This window comes from Homo sapiens, chromosome 6, assembly GCF_000001405.40.
Source record: "Homo sapiens chromosome 6, GRCh38.p14 Primary Assembly".
NCBI lineage: Eukaryota > Metazoa > Chordata > Mammalia > Primates > Hominidae > Homo > Homo sapiens.
Genome location: NC_000006.12, coordinates 140,856,396 through 140,878,080, shown reverse-complemented (window position 1 = coordinate 140,878,080; position 21,685 = coordinate 140,856,396). Strand labels below are relative to the sequence as shown.

The 21,685-nt window shown below is 35.4% G+C and overlaps 2 long non-coding RNA genes across 2 annotated transcripts in view; one reads left to right on the top strand and one right to left on the bottom strand.

Moving 5' to 3' along the window:
• LOC124901413 (uncharacterized) overlaps positions 1-11,615 on the bottom strand; it is a 31,714-nt gene extending 20,099 nt beyond the window's left edge. The window contains exons 1-2 of the long non-coding RNA XR_007059792.1: positions 11,547-11,615; positions 10,102-10,353 (exon numbers count right to left, since the gene is read on the bottom strand). This is a non-coding gene — a long non-coding RNA (uncharacterized LOC124901413). The remainder of the gene's footprint in view (positions 1-10,101; positions 10,354-11,546) is intronic.
• The window catches only part of LOC102723724 (uncharacterized), a 104,643-nt gene that overhangs the window by 20,344 nt on the left and 62,614 nt on the right, over positions 1-21,685 (top strand). The window lies entirely within an intron of this gene.

Here is a 21,685-nt window from a genome sequence, read left to right as displayed (position 1 = left end):
TAGTATTCCATGGTGTATATGTGCCACATTTTCTTAATCCAGTCTATCATTGTTGGACATTTGGGTTGGTTCCAAGTCTTTGCTATTGTGAATAGTGCCACAATAAACATACGTGTGCATGTGTCTTTATAGCAGCATGATTTATAGTCCTTTGGGTATATACCCAGTAATGGGATGGCTGGGTCAAATGGTATTTCTAGTTCTAGATCCCTGAGGAATCGCCACACTGACTTCCACAAGGGTTGAACTAGTTTACAGTCCCACCAACAGTGTAAAAGTGTTCCTATTTCTCCACATCCTCTCAAGCACCTGTTGTTTCCTGACTTTTTAATGATTGCCATTCCAACTGGTGTGAGAAGGTATCTCATTGTGGTTTTGATTTGCATTTCTCTGATGGCCAGTGATGGTGAGCATTTTTTCATGTGTTTTTTGGCTGCATAAATGTCTTCTTTTGAGAAGTGTCTGTTCATGTCCTTCGCCCACTTTTTGATGGGGTTGTTTGTTTTTTTCTTGCAAATTTGTTTGAGTTCATTGTAGATTCTGGATATTAGCCCTTTGTCAGATGAGCAGGTTGCGAAAATTTTCTCCCATTTTGTAGGTTGCCTGTTCACTCTGATGGTAGTTTCTTTTGCTGTGCAGAAGCTCTTGAGTTTAATTAGATCCCATTTGTCAATTTTGGCTTTTGTTGCCATTGCTTTTGGTGTTTTAGGCATGAAGTCCTTGTCCATGCCTATGTCCTGAATAGTAATGCTTAGGTTTTCTTCTAGGGTTTTTATGGTTTTAGGTCTAATGCTAAAAACTCTCAATAAATTAGGTATTGATGGGACATATCTCAAAATGATAAGAGCTATCTGTGACAAACCCACGGCCAATATCATACTGAATGGGAAAAAACTGGAAGCGTTCCCTTTGAAAACTGGCACAAGACAGGGATGCCCTCTCTCACCACTCCTATTCAACATAGTGTTGGAAGTTCTGGCCAGGGCAATTAGGCAGGAGAAAGAAATAAAGAGTATTCAATTAGGAAAAGAGGAAGTCAAACTGTCCCTGTTTGCAGATGACATGATTGTATATCTAGAAAACCCCATTGTCTCAGCCCAAAATCTCCTTAAGCTGATAAGCAACTTCAGCAAAGTCTCAGGACACAAAATCAATGTACAAAAATCACAAGCATTCTTATACACCAATGACAGACAAACAAAGAGCCAAATCATGAGTGAACACCCATTCACAATTGCTTAAAAGAGAATAAAATACCTAGGAATCCAACTTACAAGGGACGTGAAGGACCTCTTCAAGGAGAACTACAAACCACTGCTCAATGAAATAAAAGAGGATACAAACAAATGGAAGAACATTCCATGCTCATTTGCAGGAAGAATCAATATCGTGAAAATGGCCATACTGCCCAAGGTAATTTATAGATTCAATGCCATCCCCATCAAGCTACCAATGACTTTCTTCACAGAATTGGAGAAAACTAAAGTCAATCCTAAGCCAAAAGAACAAAGGTGGAGGCATCACGCTACCTGACTTCAAACTATACTACAAGGCTACAGTAACCAAAACAGCATGGTACTGGTACAAAAACAGAGATATAGATCAATGGAACAGAACAGAGCCCTCAGAAATAACACTTCATATCTACAACTATCTGATCTTTGACAAACCTGAGAAAAACAAGCAATGGAGAAAGGATTCCCTATTTAATAAATGGTGCTGGGAAAACTGGCTAGCCATATGTAGAAAGCTCAAACTGGATCCCTTCCTTACACCTTATATAAAAATTAATTCAAGATGGATTAAAGACTTAAACATTAGACCTAAAACCATAAAATCCGGTGACTAGCATTAAAGCTGTGTATGATTGGTTATTTGGAAGGGTAAACTGGACACTTCAGCAGAACTTTTACGATATAGAAGTGCTTTGATGAAGATACCAAGGCAGTTCCAGAAATGTGATTATTGTCAGTATATCCAAAAGTGATTCCTTCCGCAGGCCCTTACACGCTCATTAAACACACCAAGCATATTCATGCAAGGACAACACTGAAGTAGTCATTTCAACAAAAATTAACTGTGGAGGGTACCTAAATTCTTATGTGGCTAATGAGCAAATTCTCTTTCTCTCTCTCTCTGTCTGTCTGTCTCATAGTTTTTTGGTGATCTTGAGTATTGCCATTTAGAGAGGATATCATAATGTCTATTCTGGTGCTATTCCTTTCAAATAGGCACCTTTACTCATTTTTACTCTTTAGGGCTCTGTCCCATCTGCTCAGTGGTGTAGACACATGGACTTAATTCCTTTTTCGTTATTGAATACAACTTGCCTCCTCTGGTTGTTTAACATATGTTTACTTTGAACATAATACTCTACATTCTATTCAGTCTTGTTAGTTACAATTAAAATCAAATTATATATTTTGTAGGTTAAAATATGTTATTTTTTCATTGTGAGGGCTCCCTAAGTTTCTCAGCCAAATGTTTATATATAAGCTGTTGAGTTTCTTGCCCATTATCATCCTAGTCAATTATCTAAGGATTTTATTAGTTTCTTGATCAGAAGGAAATACAACATTATTTGAGAGCTATTCAGTTTGTCTAGTGAGGACTGAGTACTGACCAATATATGTTGCCAAGATTGTTACATACTTTCACCTAAAACAAATATGATATTATTTTTAAAACCCCAATACAGTATGAGTTCTATTGAGACATGATCCTAATGTTTTAAAATATGCAAGAGTTTGAGTAACTGGACAAATTACGATCCTGTAATATAGTAATAGCAAAAAGGGTATAATAAACTAATCAAGATGTCCTTTTGAAAATAATTGTGCATAGATGTGCACATTTTCTCTGTTTAATGAAAACACTGATTGAACAGCTAAAAGTTCCATATACTAGCATAAGCCTTGATGTTATAGTAATAAATATGTGGCTTTTGTCCTTGTGAAGCTTTTATTCTAACTGGAGCCACGGATAAGACAATAAAGACTAAGTTTTGATTCTGGTTCAAAAAACATGATCAGCTCAATTACCTATCAGCTACATGGCTTTTCTTGGACTATTCTTATGCTTAGAGAAGTAATGAAGTGGAAAGAAATGCCAAGGCCAGAAAAATGTAGGGAGACAAGTGTGACTTAAGGCCCATATTGAAGGAGATGAAGCTTTTGTGTGTGGAAACTTTCAAACATATGCAAAGAAGACAACGGTAAAATGAAACCCTGTGAAGTAATTACCCAGCTGTAATAATCATCACCACTTTTGTTTTATACATCTATACCCCTATTCACTTTCACCATTATTCTCTATTATTTTGAGGCAAATGCCAAACATAACATAATTGAACTCAAAAATATTTCAATAAGTTTCTCTAAAAGATAGGTACACCTTTAGAAAAAGGTAGTCACAATAAATTTTTCATCCCTAAAAGCTCAACAATAATAATCACCTTAAAGTTATCCAACAGACAATATTCAATTTTTCCTGATTAAATTTTTTTTTTTTTTTTTTTTTTTTGGAGACAGAGTCTCGCTCTGTCGCCCGGGATGGAGTTCAGTGGCATGATCTTGGCTCACTGCAACCTCTGCTTCCTGGGTTCAAGCAATTCTCTGCCTCAGCTTCCCGAGTAGCTGGGATTACAGGCACCCACCACCATGCCCGATTAATTTTTAATATAAGTTGTTTACATTCAGATCCAAACATTGTGTTTAGTAAATATGTCTTTAAATTTCTTTTACTCTGTAACTTCCTATTTTTTTTCTTTCAAAATACTGCTTTGAAGAAATTGTGCCAAAGGTTCTATAGTGGTTTTGTAATGTCTCACTTTCTGTTTTTTTTTGCCATTGGGTCCTCCCAGAACCTGAGGGAAAACAAAAGCAAAAAAAAAAAAAAATGCTTCTGTGTCCCTCTATTTCCTTAACACTGGTAGATAGATCTAGAGGTTATGATCCGATTCAGGGTAGAGGTCTTAGAAAGGGTTTTTTATATGTGGTGGTGTATAAACCCAGCAAGACCCATATGATATCTGTTAGATTGGTGCAACAGTTAATTGCGTGTTTTGCCATTGAAAGTAATGATAAAACCTGCAATTACTGTTGCACCAGCCTAATTGTTTCTATTTTTTGGAGGTTACACTGGTCATTGAGAATACTTGCTGATATCCATTTTTTTCAGTACATGTTTATAACATGGTGATATTTTAGTGTTTTTTTTTCAGTACATGTCTATAAAATGGTGATATTTTAATTTTATCATTTCTCTCTTCTTTTTTTTTTTTTTTTGCAACGGAGTCTTGCTCTGTCGCCCTGGCTGGAGTGCGCGATCTCGGCTGACTGTTACCTCCGCCTCCCGGGTTGAAGCAATTCTCCTGCCTCAGCCTCCCAAGTAGCTGGGACTACAGGCACAGGCTGCCACGCCCAGCTAATACTTTTTTTGTATTTTCGTAGAGACGGGGTTTCACCGTGCTGCCCAGGCTGGTCACGAACTCCTGAGCTCAGGCAACCCGCCCGACTTGGCCTCCCAAAGTGCTAGGATTACAGGCGTGAGCCACCGCGCCCGGCCCATTTCTCTTTTTATTAGTTGAATTGCTTCTATATAAAGAAATCTTCTTGTCTCAATTATTTGGTATCCTGAGGTGCAGTTCATACAGAGAAGTCAGGGAAATGTTTAGTTATTTCCCTGCATTTACCAGTTCTCAGGACAATAAATTTGTTCTGTAGTGTCTTCTAAATATGTCTAAAGAAGTTTTTGTTTGTTTTTATTCCTTAGTATCATTTTTGAATTTACAAATTGTAACCTTCAATCCAATTTAAAATACATTAAATATGCTACAATTTTATCAAAGTCCAAACTATACTATATTTTATAAATGTGAGCCCTTTCAGGTTGATTGAGTCTCTTTGGTGAGATTAAAATAGTTCTTGGTGGCTTCCTCAACTTATGATGTGACATTTTTCCCACTTCCTGCCCCAGAACTGAATTTAGCCATATCTCCAAAGAGCATGAGTCCTTGTGGTGCATAGAGACACAGAGACACAGAGCTTGTTCTATGCTCTTCATGGCTACTAATTTGTTCCATTTTTTTGTTCTCTGTAATTGGCTTTCTTTCTAGTGAGAAAATGTTTCTTTAAGAGAATGTACATCATAGATTCATACTTATATTTATGAATCAAATGTGCTATTTTCATTTTCTACCTAACTTCAGCCATTTTATATTAATTTCTCTTTCATCTTTTGTTAAAAAATCTAGGTTCTTGATGGCTTTACATAACGACTTGGTTTATCTGTTATATACAGTAATTTACCTGCATCCATGGGGGATTGGTTCTGGGACCCCTGAGGATACCAAAATCCCAAGATGCTCAAGTCTCTCATATAAAACCAAGTGGTACAATTGGCCCTCCTCATCTGCAGGTTTTGATCCACAGTTGGTTGCATTTGTGAAAGCCAAACCTATGAACATGGAAGGCTGGTTGTAGACATAATAGTTTCTGAATAACAATACAAACAGTATTACCAAAAATTTGTTTTCTGAACATAGCTGTAGAATATTTTTGCAGTTATTTTTGCTCTTACCTTATGTATCCCTACTAGGTATTACAATTTATTATGTTTTTTGGTCACTTGGAATAATGTCTTTCTGTCTCTTTAAGCCATAAACTTGATGCAAATTTTTCACTTGCTTTCATATATTCTCATGCTGATTTAAATTTGTTTTGTACTTGTGTAAAATATGTACCTGTCTGTAGTATGAAATCTAAAAAATAAGATCAAATGAAGAAAGTCTAGCTGTTAAAAACAACCCCATTAAAAAGAGGGCAAAAGACATGAACAGACACTTTTCAAAAGAAGACATATATGCAGCCAACAAGCATATGAAAAAATGCTCAACACCAGTAATCATTAGAAAAATGAAGTCAAAACCACAATGAGATACCACTTCATACTAGTCAGAATGACTATTACTAGAAAGTCAACAAATAACATGCTGATGAGGCTCCAGAGTAAAGGGAACACTTATACACTGCTGATGGGAATATAAATTCATTCAATCACTGTGGAAAGCAGTTTGGCAATTTCTCAAAAAACTTGAACAACAGTTCAACCCAGCAATCCCAATAATGGGTATATATATATTTTTTTCTTTTTTTTTAATTATACTTTAAGTTCTAGGGTACATGTGCACAACGTGCAGGTTTGTTACATATGTATACATGTGCCATGTTGGTGTGCTGCACCCATTAACTCATCATTTACATTAGGTATTACTCCTAATGCTTTCCCTCCCCCCTCCCCCCACCCCACGACTGGCCTCAGTGTGTGATGTTCCCCTTCCTGTGTCCAGGTGTTCTCATTGTTCGGTTCCCACATATGAGTGAGAACATGCGGTGTTTGGTTTTTTGTCCTTGCGATAGTTTACTGAGAATGGTGGCTTCTAGCATCATCCATGTCCCTACAAAGGACATGAAATCATCCTTTTTTATGGCTGCATGGTATTCCATGGTGTATATGTGCCACATTTTCTTAATCCAGTCTATCATTGTTGGACATTTGGGTTGGTTCCAAGTCTTTGCTATTGTGAATAGTGCTGCGATAAACATACGTGTGCATGTGTCTTTATAGCAGCATGATTTATAATCCTTTGGGTATATACCCAGATATGGGATCTCTGGGTCAAATGGTGTTTCTAGTTCTAGATCCTTGACTAATTACCACACTATCTTCCACAATGGTTGAACTAGTTTACAGTCCCACCAACAGTGTAAAAGTGTTCTTATTTCTCCACATCCTCTCAAGCACCTGTTGTTTCCTGACTTTTTAATGATCGCCATTCTAACTGGTATGAGATGGTATCTCATTGTGGTTTTGATTTGCATTTCTCTAATGGCCAGTAATGATGAGCATTTTTTCATGTGTCTGTTGGCTGCATAAATGTCTTCTTTTGATAAGTGTCTGTTCATATCCTTCACCCAATTTTTGATGGGGTTGTTTGCTTTTTTCTTGTAAATTTGTTTGAGTTCTTTGTAGATTCTGGATATTAGCCCTTTGTCAGATGAATAGATTGCAAAAATTTTCTCCCATTCTGTAGATTGCCTGTTCACTCTGATGGTAGTTTCTTTTGCTGTGCAGAAGCTCTTGAGTTTAATTAGATCCCATTTGTCAATTTTGGCTTTTGTTGCCATTGCTTTTGGTGTTTTAGGCATGAAGTCCTTGCCCATTCCTATGTCCTGAATGGTATTGCCTAGGTTTTCTTTTAGGGTTTTTATGATTTTAGGTCTAACATTTAAGTCTTTAATCCATCTTGAATTAATTTTTGTATAAGGTGTAAGGAAGGGATCCTGTTTCAGCTTTCTACATATGGCTAGCCAATTTTCCCAACACCATTTATTAAATAGGGAATCCTTTACCCCTTGCTTGTTTTGTCAGGTTTGTCAAAGATCAGGTGGTTGTAGATGTGTAGTATTATTTCTGAGGGCTCTGTTCTGTTCCATTGGTCTATATATCTGCTTTGGTACCAGTACCATGCTGTTTTGGTTACTGTAGCCTTGCATTATAGTTTGAAGTCAGGTAGCTTGATGCCTCCAGCTTTGTTCTTTTGGCTTAGGATTGTCTTGGCAATGTGGGCCCTTTTTTGGTTCCATATGAACTTTAAAGTAGGTTTTTCCAATTCTGTGAAGAAAGTCATTGGTAGCTTGATGGGGATGGCATTGAATCTATAAATTACCTTGGGCAGTATGGCCATTTTCACAATATTGATTCTTCCTATCCATGAGCATGGAATGTTCTTCCATTTGTTTGTATCCTCTTTTATTTCGTTGAGGAGTGGTTTGTGGTTCTCCTTGAAGAGGTCCTTCACATCCCTTTTAAGTTGGATTCCTAGGTATTTCATTCTCTGTGAAGCAATTGTGAATGGGAATTCACTCATGATTTGGCTCTCTGTTTGTCTGTTATTGGTGTATAAGAATGCTCGGGACTTTTGCACATTGATTTTGTGTCCTGAGACTTTGCTGAAGTTGCTTATCCGCTTAAGGAGATTTTGGGCTGAGATGATGGGGTTTTCTAAATATACAATCATGTCATCTGCAAACAGGGACAATTTGACTTCCTCTTTTCCTAATTGAATACTCTTTATTTCTTTCTCCTGCCTAATTGCCCTGGCCAGAACTTCCAACACTATGTTGAATAGGAGTGGTGAGAGAGGGCATCCCTGTCTTGTGCCACTTCTTTCAAAGGGAACGCTTCCAGTTTTTTCCCATTCAGTATGATATTGGCTGTGGGTTTGTCATAAATAGTTCTTAGTATTTTGAGATACATCCCATAATACCTAATTTATTGAGTTTTTAGCATGAAGAGTTGCCGAATTTTGTCAAAGGCCTTTTCTGCATCTATTGAGATAATCATGTGGTTTTTGTCTTTGGTTCTGTTTATATGCTGGATTACGTTTACTGATTTGCGTATGTTGAATCAGCCTTGCATCCCAGGGATGAAGCCCACTTGATCATGGTGGATAAGCTTTTTGATGTGCTGCTGGATTCGGTTTGCCAGTATTTTATTGAGGATTTCTGCATCGATGTTCATCAGGGATATTGGTCTAAAATTCTCTTTTTTTGTTGTGTCTCTGCCAGGCTTTGGTATCAGGATGATGCTGGCCTCATCAAATGAGTTAGGGAGGATTCCCTCTTTTTCTATTGATTGGAATAGTTTCAGAAGGAATGGTACCAGCTCCTCCTTGTACCTCTGGTAGCATTCGGCTGTGAATCCGTCTGGTCCTGGAGTTTTTTTGGTTGGTAGGCTATTAATTATTGTCTCAATTTCAGAGCCTGTTATTGGTCTATTCAGGGATTCAACTTCTTCCTGGTTTAGACTTGGTAGGGTGTATATGTTGAGGAATTTATCCATTTCTTCTAGATTTTCTAGTTTATTTGCATAGAGGTGTTTATAGTATTCTCTGATGGTAGTTTGTATTTCTGTGGGGTTGGTGGTGATATCCCCTTTATTATTTTTTATTGTGTGTATTTGATTCTTCTCTCTTTTCTTCTTTATTAGTCTTGCTAGCGGTCTATCAATTTTGTTGATCTTTTCAAAAAACCAGCTCCTGGATTCATTTGATTTTTTGAAGGGTTTTTTGTGTCTCTATCTCCTTCAGTTCTGCTCTGGTCTTAGTTATTTCTTGCCTTCTGCTAGCTTTTGAATGTGTTTGCTCTTGCTTCTCTAGTTCTAAATTGTGGTGTTAGTGTGTCAATTTTAGATCTTTCCTGCTTTCTCTCGTGGGTATTTAGTGCTATAAATTTCCCTCTACACACGGCTTTAAATGTGTCCCAGAGATTCTTGTATGTTGTGGCTTTGTTCTCGTTGGTTTCAAAGAACATCTTTATTTCTGCCTTTATTTCGTTATGTACCCAGTAGTCATTCAGGAGCAGGTTGTTCAGTTTCCATGTAGTTGAGCAGTTTTGAGTGAGTTTCTTAATCCTGAGTTCTAGTTTGACTGCACTGTGGTCTGAGAGACTGTTTGTTGCAATTTCTGCTCTTTTACATTTGCTGAGGAGTGCTTTACTTCCAACTATGTGGTCAATTTTGGAATAAGTGTGACGTGGTGCTGAGAAGAATGTATATTCTGTTGATTTGGGGTGGAGAGTTCTGTGGATGTCTATTAGGACCGCTTGGTGCAGAGCTGAGTTCAATTCCTGGATATCCTTGTTAACTTCTGTCTCATTGATCTGTCTAATGTTGACAGTGGGGTGTTAAAGTCTACCATTATTATTGTGTGGGAGTCTGAATCTCTTTGTAAGTCTCTAAGGACTTGCTTTATGAATCTGGGTGCTCCTGTATTGGGTGCATATATATTTAGGATAGTTATGCTTGTTACCTGTGTGACAAAATAGTATGTAAACCAAACTTCTGTGCTATGCAATTTATCTCTAGACCCAATCTCCGCACGTACCCCTGAAAATAAAATAAAACCTAAAAAAAGTCTAGCTGTTATTCCTGATCTTCATCATCTACTCTCTCTCCTCTACATAGGTAGCAATATCAGTTTATGACTTAGACTTTTATTTAAAAAAATAAGAATATAAAAATGAATTTGTAACCACTCACCATTTATGTAGATAAATAACACCAAACAGTATACATTTTCTTTGCTTGTTTTTTCAGATTATTTTGTATCCTGAAGATTTGATAGTAGTTTACGTAGTTTTTCCTTATTTCATGGTAGAGCTGTGTATTCTTCCATTATGTAAATGAGCCACACTTTATTCAGCCAGTGCCTACTAGTGGATTTTTGGGTTGTCTCCAGTTTTGTCAGTTTAGCTTCTACCCTAAGGGATTGACCACAGTGTAGGTTTATTCCTGAAAGGAAATTTCATTTTGGTTAATATCAATTCATAGGGCCCAGACATCTCAGTAACATGAGGTTTACTTCCATTCACTCACATTTCCTTCTTGCACACAAATGCAATGTAAATCTAGCAAATCTCATTTCAGCTGATTCTTAAATTGTGTTTCTAAATCATCTGTTGACTGTCTTAGAGTGATTTATGGGTTTTAGCTTTCAAGGCACAAGAAACCACTTTAACTTCCCCTTATGTTTTCTTGCAAAGAAAATGATACCACAAAGGTCTTGGTGATGGTTTTCTTTTTTTTCCCTGCCTATTTCTTCATATATATCTATTGTTGTTGTCTGTGAACATTTTGGTTTTATTATTGTAGTTGCTTAGTGTTTTGTGGGAGAATCTGTAGAAACTAAAAACTATCACTATCTCTCCAGAATTCTATATTCTATTATATTATAATATGATAATTATTTTATTATCATATAACATATCTTCTGTGATAAGATATATTATGTCATATAATTATTATATCATCAAAGATTTTATATATACAAAATAAGTATTTTATACAGAAAATACATAATTTTGACCACATCTTAAGGTTAAATATGATTTAAAACATATTCTTCATGTTAGTGTTTTGCCTAGTTTCATCTTATGATTAAGGTCAGCTAACTTTAGTGTCTTCTTTCTTCTCTATAAAATGAGCCATAAAAATGACAAATATATGTTTTCAATGACAAAAATATGTTTTCTAATTATCTGCTTTTCATTCAAAAGTTGCCATAACCAAGTGGGATTATGATACATAATTAAATAAGGCTACTCAGTATATATGGGAAAATTGAAGAACTTCATTATATATTAAACTGTCTTTATGTTTTTTAAAAATACATTACTATTTTTTTTAAAACCAAAGTACTACTTAGGCCATAAATTATACTAGAAATTCTGGCATCTTAAAGTAAATTCAGTCAATCAGAATAAGAATTTATGTTCAGGGTAAGAACTTTTTTTTATTCCCAGGTGATAGCTCCATCATCACATAAATCTTCACATAAATCCATCTCACAGTATGAAATTCAAGTTAATTGACTGAGTGACAAATTGGTTTAGTCTGTAGTTATTAAGTAGTATTTAATAAGTCCCATTGTGTCAGTGACATAGGCTAAACATTCAAAGTGTGTTTTCTGTGTAAGCATTCCTTACCATTTTACTTCCTTTGAAACTCTTTACAAGCATCCTCACATAACTTTTTTTTTTTTAGGTGAAGTTAGCTAGAAGTGTTAGGGAAAGAAACAATATAAAAGCATTATAAAAACTAAATTCATTACCCATGATGACATAAGCAAGACACTTGCAAGTTATCTTAAAATTAAATGCAGTGGACTTTAATTATCTGCAATGTACCAAAATAAATACCCTGAAAAAATGTCAAAAAACAACACCTAGAAATCATGGGTAGAATATAATAAATAACCTTTTAACACACAAGGTAATCCTAGGGGTGAAAAACGAAGAGGGAGCAGAAAATATAATGGGTAATCAGACACTATTGCTAATCTTGGAAACAGAGACCATTTGAGTATTAAGAGGCTTATAGAAAAAGACCAACCAGGCAAGTCAAAGAGCTGTAACTTAGACTCTTGTATAAAATAGCAGTATTCAAAGTGCAATTCCCTTAATTCAATGGTGGAATACAAAAAAAAAGTCCAAAGTAAGAGTAAGACAACAAAGTATTATTACCTATGGTCTGAAATCAGAGTGGGTTAAAAATGATCATATCTCATCTTTTTAGCCAAAAAAGCATATCTTCATGTAAATCTGGGATTTGAATTTATACAATATATGTTCCTAGGAATTTCTAAAACAGTAAATTATTATTATTATTATTATTATTATTATTTTTGAAACAGAGTTTCGCTTTTGTTGCCCAGGCTGGAGTGCAATGGTACGAACTCAGCTCACCACAACCTCCGCCTCCCGGATTCAAGCGATTCTCCTGCCTCAGCCTCCCGAGTAGCTAGGATTACAGGCATGTGCCACCACGCTTGGCTAATTTTGTAGTTTTAGTAGAGATGGGGTTTCTCCATGTTGGTCAGGCTGGTCTCGACTCTGGACCTCAGGTGATCCACCTGCTTCGGCCTCCCAAAGTGATGGGATTACAGGCATGAGCCACCGCGCCTGGCCAGCAGTAAATAAAATTTTAAAACTTCCACATTTAGATAAATCATTGTAAAACTTCAAAACTCACAAAGACAAAAACAACATTTAAATACAGCCAGAAAAGTACTCTTCCCTTAAATTTTTTAGACTGATAGCATGCTTCTAAAACAACAATAATATCCAGAAATGTAAAATTATATCCTGAAAGTGATTACACAGAAATATCTGTCAACATAGAATTCTTATAATAATGTAGAAAATAATTTAAGAAGGTAGACAAAACAAAGACCTTTTCTGGTCAGAAAAACAAAACCAGAGATTTATTACTAAAAAACCCTTATGTAGGGACTTCCAAAGTATGTACTTTGGATGGAGGAAATTAAATCCAGAAGGAAGGTAGAAAGACTGAGATGTAACAGAGTCAATTAACTGAAAAAGGAGTAAGTAAACACATTGGTAAAACTAAACAAAATTTGACTAAATAAAATAAGAATCAAAACTCTCAATTTTGTAGGTGAAAATAGGGTAGGACTAAAACACTGGCTTGTAATAGTATGCAGGTTGCATAAGAGTAAGTTGAAGATTTCTAATGGTTTGGTATTGTTCAAGAGAAAAGACATAGAAATATGGAAACTGTAAAATGCTAAAATACTAAAGATTTGATGTTGGGCTGGGCGCGGTGGCTCACACCTGTAATCCCACCACTTTGGGAGGCCAAGACAGGCGGATCACAAGGTCAGCAGATCGAGACCATCCTGGCTAACATGGTGAAACCCTGTCTGTACCAAAAAATACAAAAAATTAGCTGGGCGTGGCGGTGAGCACCTGTAGTCCCAGCTACTTGGGAGGCTGAGGCATAAGAATGGCGTGAACCCAGGAGGCAGAGCTTGCAGTGAGCTGAGATCACGCCACTGCACTCCAGTCTGGGCGAGAGAGCAAGACTCCGTCTCAAAAAAAAATAAAAATTAAAAAATTAAAATAAAAAAGATTTGTTGTTAACAATCAGAATAATTAAAATGTAATGTGTGATGTCCAAAACACTAGACTGAGAAGAATGATTAATACCAAAAGGAAGAAATAGAATGAAGTAAGGAAAGAGAATGGAAAATGCAGAATAAATAGCAAGAACAAAACAATATATTAACATAAATTCAAATATATTAGTAGTTACAGGAAATGCAAATGAACTTAATTCAGTAAAGTTTTAGATAGAATTACAAAAATCTATCCATATGCTTTTTGCTTGAAAAACATGGATATAAAATTTTAAGCTAAAGAAATGGATTTTAATCAATAAATGAAAATAACATTAAATTTTAAAAGATCAGATAAAGTAGATTACAAGGTAAAACTATTACTAAAGTCATTGCATACATAAAAATATAATTATTTGGGAAAGAACAGCAATTCTAAATTGGTCACCACAAAAATAACAGAGAGTTTTATATATATAAAGCAAAAATTATTTGAAGCTTCAAATTCACCAATATTGTGGGAATTTCCCAATGGCAGGTTGATCGTTACTTTTGTGGATACAGATCCCTTAAATAACATTAGTAATGAGCTTGACTAGAGCATACATGGGATCCCAGATCTAATTTAGAAAGCCATACTCTTCTCAGCACACATGGAATTTTAAAGAAAATACACCACATGGTTGCACGTAAGACATGTTTCAGACTTCAAAGAATAGTTGTCATAAAGAAAGCTTTGTTGACCGGGTGCAGTGCTGACGCCTGTAATCCCAGCACTTTGGGAGGCCCACGCGGGTGGATCACCAGGTCAGGAGTTCAAGACCTGCCTGACCAACAGGGTGAAACCCCGTCTCTACTAAAAACACAAAAATTAGCCAGGCGTGGTGGCGCATGCCTGTAATCCCAGCTACTTAGGAGGCTGAGGCAGGAGAATGGCTTGAACCCGGGAGGCGGAGGTTGCAGTGAATGGAGATCGCGCCATTGCACTCCAGCCTGGGCAACAGAGTGAGACTCCGTCTCAAAACAAGAAAAAAAAAATGCTTTGTCTGACAACAGCATAATTGAGGTAGAAGTAAATATAAATGATACTTAAGGAAAATGTAAAGATATGCTCTTAAGTCATGGAACAAATGAGCACTTATCATGGAAATAAGAAAATATTTAGAAATAAATATTAATGAAAATGATACAGAGTAAACAAGTAGTATCCAGTGGAAATAAATGGTAAATAATATTTATGGAATTGAATATTAAAATTTAAGAAGAAAGAAAAATGAAGTAAATAGCTCATTTTAAAAGTTTGAAAAGAAAGGTTATAGAATAAGCCACAAAACTATTACAACAGGTATTGAAGAGAGCAGAAATTGAATAAAGACAAAGAAAGATACAGCAAAGGTAAAAAAATCCAGCCTTCGAATCATTGGTAAGGCACATAAAGTTGATAAAACTCTGTTGAGACAGATCAAGAAAATAAGAGTGTATAAACGACAGAAACTATTAAAAATAAAAATTAAGAAAAACCTATAAATATAGTAAAAAATTAGAAAGTGAACACTATTAAATACTTTGGGACAATTATTCAGAAAGATGATAAAATGGGCTATTTCCTAGAAAAACATAACTAAGCAAACCTAACTTAAGAAGAATTAACAAACATCTATATAGTAAAAATATATTGAAGAAATTCAATCAGTAGACAAATCTAAACTTAAAAAGAGAAAGAGACAGAAAAAAACATTTTCCTCCAGATAGTTTAGTACATGAATTTCACACAAAAATATTTAACAAAAAGATAGTGCTGATTTATTGTATTTCTGACAAGACAGTAGGAAAAAGATTATAGAATCATCTTACTCATTAAAATAGAATGCAGTGCAAAAATTCTAAACAAAATATAAGTAAGCCAAATCCAGCAAAATATAAGCAAACATAGAAAGCAAAGATTGCTTACCTTTAGAAATATGTATAAGTTTATCACATTGATAAATGAAAGAAAATAAAGCATACAGTTATCTCAAAAGATTCAGAATAATTACACAATGAAATTCAAAACCTATTTTATAATTTAAAAAACAAAAATCATTACAAGATAGCATACATAGGCCGGGCATGGTGGCTCACGCCTGTAATCCCAGCACTTTGGGAGGCCAAGGCAGGTGGATCACTTGAAGTCAGGCATTCGAGACCAGTCTGGCCCACATGCCGAAAACCTGTCTCTACTAAAAATGCAAAAATTAACCAGGCATGGTGTCGTGTGCCTGTAAGACCAAGGCATGAGAATTACTTGAACCTGGGAGGTGGAGGTTGCAGTGAGCCAAGATCGTGCCACTGCACTCCAGCCTGGTTGACAGAGCGAGATTCTATCTCAGAAAAAAACAAACAAACAAAACAAGGTAACATACATAAAAATTTTCTTACTTTGGTAAATGATATAAACAAAGCCTACACTGAACATTTTAATATAGTTAAAATGTCAAAAAGTTTTTTTTCTCTTTTCTCTCTCTCTTTTGTGTGTGTGTGTGTGGTGTGTGTGTGTGTGTGTGTGTGTGTAAGGTGTTTACTCTGTTACCCTGGCTCGAGTTCAGTGGCATGATCACAGCTTATTGCAGCCTCAACCTCCTCGGTGGAAATGATCCTCCCACTTCAGCCTCCTTCCTGAGTGGCTGGGACTACAGGCATGTGCTGCACACTCAGCTAATTAAAAAAAAATGGGGATGGGGTCTCATTATGTTGACATGGCTAGTCTCAAACTCTTGGGCTCAAGTGATCTTCCCATCTTGGCCTCCCGAAGTGCTAGGATCACAGTTGTGAACCAATATGTCCAGCTCTTAAAAAATAAGAATCAGACGAGGATACCCAGTCTCATTAAACCTTGTACTAGATACCTTTGTAAAATCGTAAAATAAGAAAATAAAACAAACACAGGTAAACGATATTTTTAAATTTTATATAAGATATATATCTCCATAGTTTACTATGGATCACATATAGACAATTTATTGTACTTAATAAATGAGGTCAGCAACATTGTTGTTTATGGTCAATGTATAAATGTCAATTCCTTTTCTATAACTCAGCAACAGATGGATAATATATCTAAAACTTTAGAATATACAATAAAAATATACACAAGGTATTCAGAAATGAATTATATAAAATACATGAATGACCTTGATGGTGAAAATTCAATAAACTTTTTAAAGGATTTCAGAGATTAAATAAAATGAAGAGACATATAATGTTCATGGATAAGATAAGCAATATATTAAAGTCATTTATATTTTTGAATATTATTAATATTTTAAATATTATTAAAGTCATATATTTTTCAAGTTGATCTTTAAGTTTAGAAATTTTGCCAATCATTAATTTGACCAGTTATTTCTAACATTTATATGGGAAGATTGTGTACTTGTAATAGGAATATTCTGAAGAGTATAAAAGTCAACAGTATGGATATTAAGAAATCATAAATTTATGCAACCAGGATATTGTACAGTTGGTTCAGGGATACATAATAGATAATGAGATCAGTGGAATTAGATAAAGCCAAAAAAACAGGCATTTCATATATAAAAACATGACTTAAGACAAATGTGAGGAAATAGTGGACTCAAATGAAAGGCCTAAACAATTGGTTGTATATGAAAAAATAAAATAAAATAGCATTCTTGATTTACACAAGGTGTAGGTAAAGGAGAATTTTTTTGTCCTTGAGCAGAGAAAGATTTTTTTTAATTAAAAACTTCTCGACTACTTTAAAAGTTAAAATGCTTGTGCAAAAAAAGAAAAATATTAAAATATGAGTTACAAGGTGGGATAGGATATTTGCAATGTATGCAACTCTCAACAGATGGTATAGATTATATCAGGAATACTTCAAAATCATTAAGAAAACTGTCCACTGTATAAATGGCAAGATAAACAAGTAATATGGAGAAAATTTATAGAAGTAAAGCCTCAATAGTCAAAAAATAAGAAATAGAATTTCACTAATAATCAGAAAAACCCAAATTACAATAACCATGAAGTAATTTTTGTGTCCATGAAATTAACAATATGTAATTGTACCAAAAAGGCTGTGTTATACCATGAGAATGTTAATTGCTACAATCAGGTGGAAAGACAAATTTAGAAACTCTCTAGTGCATTTGAGGATGGTAATATCCCCGCCATTCTTGCTGGATAGCTTGTAGATCTCTTGTATATTGAGATGTAGAAAATGTTCAAAGCAGCAATGTTTGTAAAACAAGAAATTTTAAAAGTTTTAAATGTTGACTCAAGAAAAAATATATTTTAAATCCACAAATATTATATAACAGATAAGTGAATTAACTAGAGTGACCTGTATCAACATGGATACACCTCAAAAACACATCTGAGAGAAAAAGGTGGCCGAGATCGCGCCACTGCACTCCAGCCTGGGCGACAGAGCGAGACTCCGTCTCAAAAAAAAAAAAAAAAATACATTGGTTTCATTCAGAAAGACGGGACAATTTAAATATTTTCTGATTGATAATTGGTTGAGTTTATCTGAAGACCTGGGATCAAAGGAAATGTTCAGGTTAAGATAAAGGATTGTGGAGACCAAGTTTTATTGTGCAGAGGAATCTCTCAGATAGCTGACTTCAGAGAGAGAGCAGGTTGTAAATTGTTTCTTATCAGACCTAAAAGGGTGCCTGGCTCTTAGTTGATTATCTTCTGGATCTAGAAAGAGAGGAAGGAAAACAAGGGGGAAAGGGGATTTTCTATACAATGTGGATTTTTCCCACAAGAGACTTTGCAGGTCAATTTCAAGGTAAGGCAAGGAAATATATTTGGGGGTTAAATATTTTTTGCTTGTCTTATAAAGTTATGCCAGAGTCAGATTGAAAAGTAAGTCATGATATATAGGGTCAAATAAAACCCATCTGATGAGAATTTATGGTTTGTAAGGCATGACTCCCCAGACTCCTTAGAAAGGAATTTGGGCAAGATTAAAAAAAAAAAATCAGAACTTAGTCCTCATACACCATCAACTTGCTGTTACTTAGCTATGATCAGTATTTAGCATTATATCCTTGTTCTTCTCAGGGTTCTTTTTAAAAAATTAGTTGCAGATCTTTGTTAAAAGGAGGCTTATTTTTCAAATTCTTGTATGTTGGGAAAAGAGGCAAGACAAATGTTTCTGAGATCTTAGAATGCATAGAAAATTTTACAAAAATCACAGTCTGTGTGCACTATAGTCTTGTGGTGCAATAGCACATATACAAAGACCTAATTAAAAAGAAAATCAGACCAGGCGCAGTGGCTCACGCCTGTAATCCTAGCACTCTGGGAGGCTGAGGGGTGGATCACTTGAGCCCAGGAGTTCAGGACCAGCCTGGACAACATGGTGAAACCTCCTCTCTACTAAAAATACAAAAATTAGTCTGGCATGGTGGCACTTGCCTGTAATCCCAGCTACTCGGGAGGCTGAGGCAGGAGAATTGCTTGAACCCAGGAGGTGGAGGTTGCAGTGAGCCGAGATTGCATCACTGCACTCTAGCCTGGGTGACAGAGCAAGACTCTCAAAAATAAAGAAAGAAAAGAAGGGAGGGAGGGAGGGAGGGAGCGAGGGACGGCAAGTGCAGCGGCTCATGCATATGTAATCCCAGCACTTTGGGAGGCCAAGACTGGCAGATCACTTGAGCTGAGGAGTTGGAGACCAGCCTGGACACCACAATGAAACCCAGTCTCTGCAAAAAATACAAAAATTTGCTGAGCGTGCTGGTGCATGCCTGTAGTCCTGGCTACTCAGGAGGCTGAGGTGGGAGAATCACTTGACTTGATGTCGAGGCTGCAGTGAGCTGAGATCGCACCACTCCTAGATGATAAGAGTGAGAGCCTGTCTCAAAACAAAGAAAAGAAAGAAAGAACGAAAGAGAAGAAAATACAGGTATTACGGCCTAGGTAAGTACGTACCCGTATGCTAAATTGTTTAGAAGATTATGTCAGATGAGTCACACCTTAGCTTGGTCCTGTGGAGCACGTATCATTATTAGTCATGTCACGTTTTACAGATGAGTAAACTAATGCAGTTATAATTTGTAGATATATGTAATCAACTAAGCAGCCAAACTAGGATTTGAAACCAGCTCCTTGCCTTCTTAGCCCACGTTCTTATCCTCTAACTAGCACCCAGCCACCAGGACTATTTTCCCCTGACCATGAAAGGCAAACAACTTTCCATTCAAAGAATACTTTATAATGACAAATGATGGGGAGTCAGTATCGCCCTAAGGTCTCCAAGCTGCATCAATAGCTATCAGTCACACATCAGATAAATAGATTTCAGAAGTTTTGTGTACAGTATGTTCTTGAATTTGGGCTTAAGCTCAGACTGACATATAGTATTTCATCACTAATGTGATCTCTTTCTTGCAGAGGGAACATTCTTTTTTTAAATTGTATTGCATAACTTGTTTGCTTCCTAGCAAAACAATTTTTGAATTTCTGTATAATTTCTGTTAAATCTATTTTTAAAGTTGAGGCTTAGGTCAAATGCAAATATGAATATAGATTTATCCAGCATGCATAATTTGTAGTCTGCATGGAACTGACTCATCTGTCTTCAGTATCTGGCAGTCACATGACTAGCTCTCCTGCTAAGAGTGACCTATTCATCCTTCAAATAAACATCCACAAGGGGAAGAAAAACAATATGTACAGTTCCAGAGAAGGAACAACATATTGTGCATGAGCTGATGTACTTGAGTCAGTTCTGCCAACAGTCTTTCAAATTAAGAGTTCCTCATTCAGAAAGCAGTCAGAAATGAAAAGAAATTCTAAATGTTAAGCAATCTAAAAACTTAAGATTATATTCTTTTTTTAAAATACAAGTGAATGACCAAATTAGTAAACAAGTTTCTTGAACATCTGCAGGATGATTTTGGCATATACGTGTTTCAAATAAATATAAAGTTCTATATTATATACAGACATATGCTTTTCTGTACTTACCCTAGTTTAATCTGGAAAAAAAATGTACTTCTGTATTATCTGTGTTCTGCTCAACCCAATCTGTAGTTGAGAAGACAGGAGATCTGTAGATGTATGCACAGGGCAAAATGTTTTAGATACTTCATGGTTTTTTCTATGAGAGGAGAAAACATCCCCACTATGTGAATGATTCTGCCAGTAATGTACATCCCCACCATTTAACAGATTTTTAAAATGCATATGTCATTTTCAGTAAAAAGAAATGTATACAGTAATACCAACTGCAGACTAAAATTGACTTTCTGGAAAAGTTTCACACATTTTCAGTATAAACTGATTAAAATCAGAAAGATGAACTAACATTCTGAAATAGTCATCTAGCTTTAAAATGATAAATTATTGACTATTTGCCTTTATATACTTTATATATATATACAATCATTTTAGGAGAGAACTTGAAGAAATGGTTTAAGAACATTAGGGAGTGAAATTGTACTATCTCTATATGTGAAAACCTCATCTATATAATGTGAAATGAGGTCTCATATTTATGTGGGTTTTCATCAATGAACCAAAGAAATATATTACATTACTGATAGAAAAGTGTGAAGAAAATGGTTTGGATGGAAGAACCTTATAGTAATGTTTGGGATTTAAAATATAGGGATTTAACAGTCTGTACACCTTTGAAAAATCATTTCTAAATTTTTATCATTGCAATTGAACACATTTATTTTAAGATTACATTAAACAATTTTTTATAAATGTAAAAAAATAAATTTAAAATGAAATTCCATACTGTTTTAAAGCAAGGTTGCCTCCAAATTCAGATCTCCTTCTGACCCAAGATTTCAGGAATAATATATTTTTTTTTTCCTAACATTCAGTTTTAGAAGTGGCCAGGACAGTTAATAAAAGATGGCATTACGGAATTATTGACATTTTCTTAGGTGTGATGATGGCACTGTACCTTTGGAAAAAGATTGCCCTCATTTTTTAGAAATGGATGCCGAGTGTTTTATGTGTCATGATATCTGCAACTTATTTTTATATTTACATAAAAATGATGCATAGGTTTATTTATAGACAATTATAAGGCAAGTAAACAAGATCTTAATAATTGTTAAATAAAAGTTGAAGGCACCTGGGTACTAATCTACTTTCAGCTTTTTTGTATTTAAAATAATTTTTAAAACAAGAACATGAAGGGAAAAATAAATTCAATTATAGCCTCCGCCTTCTGATGCT